Here is a 6,000-nt window from a genome sequence, read left to right on the forward strand (position 1 = left end):
CAGGCTGGTCTTGAACTCCTGACCTCAGGTGATCCACCCGCCTCAGCCTCCTAAAGTGTTGGGATTACAGGCGTGAGCCACTACGCCCAGCCTGGGAACCCGAATTATTTATTTCATCAACCTTGGCTACAAATGGGTTTACTCCTGCTTATGGTGTCAAGTCCATGCAGCCCCTCACCCCCTTTAAATAGAGAGGCATTGGCCGCCTTAGGCTCCCCCTGCCCTGAGTTTAGGGCTGTTGAGTGTAGGCCTACAGGGAGGGGGACCCACTGAGGAGAAACCGGCTCCACTTTAGAAGGTGCTGGAAATAAAATATCCGTATCAACTGTCGGAAACTTGGTTTGATGCGCTAATCACTCGGTTCAAGGGTGTCTACATTATTAGGTGCCAAGTCCCCACTTCCAATCCCAGACAGAAACACCCTTCTAGATGGAACAGAGGGCATGTTTTTATTTAAGACTTGATGAGTACCAACTCTTGTTCTGAGCAGAGGTTATTTTTTAAGAGGAAATAAGATCTTGATTCCTGCTTATGAATTCTGGAAAAGTAATAAAGGTTGTTCAGATAATTTTCCACAAGATCTTCATCCGAACCTTCCCACTTGCTGAATTTTTTTTCCCTGCAGCTTAATTTCCCCTAAACACTTTGCATCGCTCCCTCCCCCCACCATGGCCCTGAAGATTCTCCATCTTAAATAACAAGGACCCTGCTGGCTACTAAAGGAGGCTGCCCATTTTAATTCAAAACAAGGGCCACGAGTGCTGGTCTTAGAAAGAGCCGAGGAGTGAAGATCAACCTTTTTTTCTCTTGGAGTGCTTGCACTTAACCCTCAATCGCCAATATAGTACCTCTTTCTCTCTCCTTTATTAAAATATTTCTTTCATTCTTTTCTTTTTGGGGGGGAGGGGGCAAGATTTCTTAAGGTAAAAGAAATAAGCTGAACAGATTGATTATTGTTATGTCTGTAATTGCTCTAAAAACATTTTTCAGTGGGGCCTCATAGGGCAAACATATTGGTCTTTGATCAACACTGAAGAAAGCAAACATTGGAAAACCAAAACCCACTACTTTGGAGTCTACACTTGGCATTTACAGCCCTGAAATGGAATGCCCTTTACCTTCAAAAGGGCAGCTATTAACGACAGAAAGTTCTTGAGTTTTTCTGTAGATAGTGCTTCAGTAGTTTTCTAGTAGTATTCTAACCTAGGCATAACTTCCTCTCTTCTGAAACTGGGGAAACCCATTTGCAAAGTGAAACGATTTGACTAGTAATACCCAATGTCAGTTTATTTGAAACTATAGCTAAAAAGGGAAAAACTAATAAATCCACTTTGATTATTTTTCTGCTTAGTTTCAAGACGTCCTCTAAGCCTAGATAACGAAAGTGATTTCAAAAATTTTGACATACTTAACCAAATGAAACTAATAGGTGCGCAGCAAATTAGTACGAGCCATAGTCAAACCAAAAGAGGATCTTTTTTACTAGAAGAAACTTGCACTATTGATTTTATTGACTGACTCGATTTCAGTGTTTTAATCAACTTTAACAAATTTAACTGAAAACAGGGTAATTGATATATAGAATTTAAAACTTCAAAAATAAGCCGCAGATATTCATAAATATTTTTTATTAGGTGATTTGCTGTTGATTTACCATTTAAGTAAAAAAAACTATTCTTTTTTCTAACTTAAGCTACGGTGATCTGAATTTCCTTCCCTTTAGCTTCCTCAGTCAAGATTTGGGAACAGAAATTCCAAAATGCTTAGAAATGGGTGGGAAGATTGTAGGTTTAGAAGTCTGAGGAAGGAAATTACAAGCCGATGCTGATTGACTTTTGAAAGGCCTGGCACGTCCCAGTCTATATAATAACTCAGTTGGAGGAAGAACCTCGAGGACCGAGTGTCTCCAGATCACTTAATGCATCGGCATCCACCACGCTCGGCTCATGGGCAGGGCCCCCGAGGCTGCCACCAACCCACGGAGCCTTGAGGAGCTGCGCTTCCCCGCGATGGTCCAACGAACTTCGGAAGTGCTCCTGCTTCCGGTTTCACGTATACCTGGGATGCGTTGCCATACAGGTTTGTCCCGTTTTAATGCTTTGACCCATCTAAGATACGAGGACAGGAGACTGGAGAAGTAAACGAAAGGCAATGGCCGAGGGGTAAGGCGGGGAACACAGCAGGAAAAGGACAGGTTCCCCTTCACCTTCACCCCCAGTGTTGGCAACGTCCCAGGGATTCTCGGAGCTGAAGCTTCTTCAGAAAACAGTCAGCTTAATTAAGATCCTGCCCTTGGGGAATCTAGAATAAATGGCGAGTAGTGGGCAGCTTTCCCCACCAGTCGCAGGATCTAAAAGCAATGAGTGACGGTTGTCTGTGCAGCAGTCAGAGGGAAGAGCGACAGTTCCAGACGAGGGGCAGTCGGACTTCTCCGCAGCCTACCGCCAGCTTGGAGTGCAGATCTCCACCGACTGCGCCACAGACAGTCTCAGTCCCCAGCAGTCACAATATTTGCACTCCCCTTTCTTCCTGGCCTTTCAACCCCTCCCTTTCCTTCCTCCTCACCCCTCCCACCCCGCACCCGAGAGACAGCCTGCCGTCCCAGGTCCAGCCCGCGCCTCTGCGCACCTCCCGGCACCCGGCGCAGGTCGCCGGCCAGGGCACACACGCGTCCCCGCCTGCTCGCCGGCCCGCAAGGCCCGGGCTGCGGCGGCCGCGGGCGCGGGAGGCGGAGGCGCAGGCGCCGGGCTCCGTGGCAGCCCGGCCCAGCCCCGCCCCGCCCCACCCTCCGGCCCTCCCCTCCGCTTAGCCGTGCTCTCCCGCCGAGCTCCGCCGCCAGCTCCGTGCTCTGCCCGGCCCGTACGCCGCTCGCCACCGCGGCTCCCCGGGCGGGAAGGCTGCGCCGGCTCCCGCCAAGGGGGAGGCGCCACCCCGCCCCGGGGCGGTTGTCTTGCTGGGACTCCTGGGCCGGTCACAAAGCCCCTCTCCGCTGACCCGGAGGGACGGGAGTCGGGTGCGCGACGGCGGCTCCCCACCCCTGCACTCAGCCGCCCGCCCCGCTCCTCCTCCTTCCCTCCCTGTCCCTCCTCCTCTCCCACCCCCCGAGGGCTCGCACACCCCGCGGGCGGGAAGGTGCCGCCCTCGGGGCGGACAAAGGGGCAGGCCGGGCGGGAGGGGCTGTAGCCGGCACGCGCGGCCGCGGGAGGGCCCGCCTCGCCCCGGGCCGCCGACCTGACACCTGCTGGGCAGCCTGCGCGGCCTGGGGCGAAGGCCAGCGGGCGGCGGGGTGGGAAGCGCCAGCGCAGGGGCGTGTGTTCGGGAGGGGGTCGCGGACAGGTCAGGCGGCTTGGGACCCACCCCACCCGGGCAATAGTGACCTACTGCTTCGCTAGCGTCCCCTTTCAGGTCTTAACTGGACTTTAAAGATCTTTTAGAAAATTTATATTCTCGTTTTTATGTCAGCGACTATACATCAGAATCACGCAAAGGGCTAGTTAAAACGCAGATGGCTGGGCTCGTCCGCAGAGTTTCTGCTTCAGTAGGACTGCGGTGGGGCCCAGTCATTTGTATTCCTAAATTCTCAGGTGACGCTCATGCTGCTGAACCGGGTACCACACTAGGAGAATCACTGCTATGCCATTCATTCCCCACCACCCGCTAACTGTAGAAGTGGGGAGAGGATCTCCCGCAGGGATCCCAAAGACAGTGCTAGTGCTCTCATTGCCAAGGTAGTTTTATCTCTTTTGAAGGTAAGCTCTGCATTGAATACGTACTGGATCTTCTCGATAGAAGTTTGACCATATGCTAGAGTGGAACCCTCACGCTGCTGGTGCTGGAGAAAGCAAGGCTGTTTAGATAGATGCCAGGCAGAGAAAGCCACAGTCCAGTTTCCATTTCCCCTGAAGAGCCAGAACCAGGGCGATGGGTCTTTCCCAGCACAAATTCAAAAAAGAACCAAACAGTTTCATTTCGACACAATGACAACCTCCCACCTTCTCTTTATAAATTTTTGATATTTCGATCGAAATATTCTATCCTACGTTCAGCATGTTTCCATTGTTTTATATTTTACTGAAGGACCTAAAATATTTTAAAGCAGAGAAAAGAACTAAATGATAGGCAGAGAGGAGATTTAAATAAAATTTTTAAAAGCCACAAATTTACAATTGTTTTTTAAAAAGCATATCTATGTATTTAAAATAATATAATGAATTGAATCATTTAAAATGCACCCCTGTCCTTTCAAATCTGTTTTTTTTTTTTCAAAAAATTTTTGAAAATCTAATGAGAAATATATTTTGACATTCCAATCCAGTGAATTAGTTAAGGGAAAACTACCTAAAAAGAGGCACACTAAACTTTTCTTATCCCCAGTGGGCGGTGTTAATCATCCAGTTTGAGCCTTGTAGTTTTCATTGTCGAATACTTGGGTTCTCTCAAAGGGAAGAACGTTGGGGACTTGCATTCACTCTTTTTCAAGAGGAGATTAAACACAAAATCGATTTAATGGAGCATCTGTAATCTTAAATACGAGAAGTCAAGAGCTAAAGCTATAATAGAAAGGTTAGCTTTCCTCCATTGTTCACACAATCTAACTCATATTTTTGGAACTTAATTATCAATGAAAGCTACCACATCAATGCAATACAGTATAGGCAAATTACAAGAACCTTTTACTTCTCCCAACTGGGTTTAAATTGCAAATCTTAACACTGAACAGTGTGCTTTTGGCATTGAATATTCAATACAGGGAAATGTGTTTTAAGTGAACCACCCAAGGGCCCAGGAACATTTGCTTAATAATGATACTTTGCAATTCTATAGGGCCTTTCAGGCAAGGATCTCAAGTGGAATGCTCTTTAACTATACCCTGCATGGGAAACCTTGGGAATATTTTAAAGTGCTCACTTAAGGCCTATTGGAAAGAATCTTTTAGTATAGATTTCACAGTATGATTTTAAGAAATGAGGTACTGCAGAATTTTCAGTCTCAGGGGTATCATATTCATGGGGATTTGGTGGTTACTGAACATTTATTAGTTACTTTATGTAAAGGTTAAAATGTACATTTTCTCCAACTTTTTATTTTCAAAAAATTTAAACCTACAGAAAATAATGGTACAATGAAACATTTAATTTCAAAGAACACCCATATTCCCTTCACTTAGGTTCATCAGCTTTTAACATTTTGTGACAATTGCTTAGATTTTTCTAAGTAGATGGATAGCTAGACAGACAGACATATATGGATCTACTATATCTGAATAGATAGGTAGATGTCAGATATGATTATTTGTTTGTTCATACACATACATAAACTTACCTCTTTTATCTATTTCAAGTAAGTGGTAAACATCACTGCACTTTATTCCTAAGTACTAAAGCGTGCCTATCCTGATTAAAGGGTATTCTACATAACCATAAAGAATATTCTTATTGTTGAGTTTTTAAATACATTCCAATGGTTTTATTTTATTTTTGTATTCAGAATATCCATAAGTTTTATCAGTGTTGTCTACAAACTTAGGAAATGAGATTTAAGCCAGTACTGGTATACAAAATTCTAAAATACTGTTGTATTACCTAGGCATCTTGGGAATTTTAGAACCTGAGATTCTAATTAAGAAATTGCTGTATAACCAGATTTTAAAAACAATTGAAGAAACAAAACCATTTGCACATGCTTACAGAACACAAACAGAACATTTACATTTCAATCCAAACAAACAAAAAATTCTATTTTTACCTTAATATTTGATCTAAGTTATCAGAATAATGGTCTTAATTATCCACTTCATTTTGATAGCTAGTATAGACTTGACCAAAGAGAAAATAGCACTGGCAGTTATGTACTCTGAGAAGTGTGTGTAGACAATTTATATAATTTTGCCAAAATGGCCAATTAATTGATATAATTATGAATGTCTGGACTTAGCTTTTATGGTTAAAAAAGTAAAACCTCTTGTCTTTCCAATGGTGGCTTTCTACTAGCTTTAATGAT

At 44.9% G+C, this 6,000-nt stretch overlaps 5 annotated features.

Annotated features, from left to right (window-relative positions):
• Positions 471–1,179: an enhancer, noted in NCBI's record as "OCT4-NANOG hESC enhancer chr7:20835446-20836154 (GRCh37/hg19 assembly coordinates)". NCBI's record gives its function as "activates a minimal SCP1, AML or CMV promoter by ChIP-STARR-seq in naive H9 embryonic stem cells {active_cell/tissue: H9 hESC(naive)}" and the evidence as "EXISTENCE:reporter gene assay evidence [ECO:0000049][PMID:30033119]".
• Positions 2,562–2,621: a silencer, noted in NCBI's record as "silent region_17992". NCBI's record gives its function as "represses an Ori minimal core promoter by ATAC-STARR-seq in GM12878 lymphoblastoid cells {active_cell/tissue: GM12878}" and the evidence as "EXISTENCE:reporter gene assay evidence [ECO:0000049][PMID:35858748]".
• Positions 2,672–2,901: a silencer, noted in NCBI's record as "silent region_17993". NCBI's record gives its function as "represses an Ori minimal core promoter by ATAC-STARR-seq in GM12878 lymphoblastoid cells {active_cell/tissue: GM12878}" and the evidence as "EXISTENCE:reporter gene assay evidence [ECO:0000049][PMID:35858748]".
• Positions 2,992–3,121: a silencer, noted in NCBI's record as "silent region_17994". NCBI's record gives its function as "represses an Ori minimal core promoter by ATAC-STARR-seq in GM12878 lymphoblastoid cells {active_cell/tissue: GM12878}" and the evidence as "EXISTENCE:reporter gene assay evidence [ECO:0000049][PMID:35858748]".
• Positions 3,868–5,420: an enhancer, noted in NCBI's record as "VISTA enhancer hs1019". NCBI's record gives its function as "enhancer in: forebrain[4/6]" and the evidence as "EXISTENCE:transgenic organism evidence [ECO:0001131][PMID:17130149]".

Source organism: Homo sapiens, chromosome 7 (assembly GCF_000001405.40).
Source record: "Homo sapiens chromosome 7, GRCh38.p14 Primary Assembly".
In the NCBI taxonomy this organism is placed as follows: domain Eukaryota; kingdom Metazoa; phylum Chordata; class Mammalia; order Primates; family Hominidae; genus Homo; species Homo sapiens.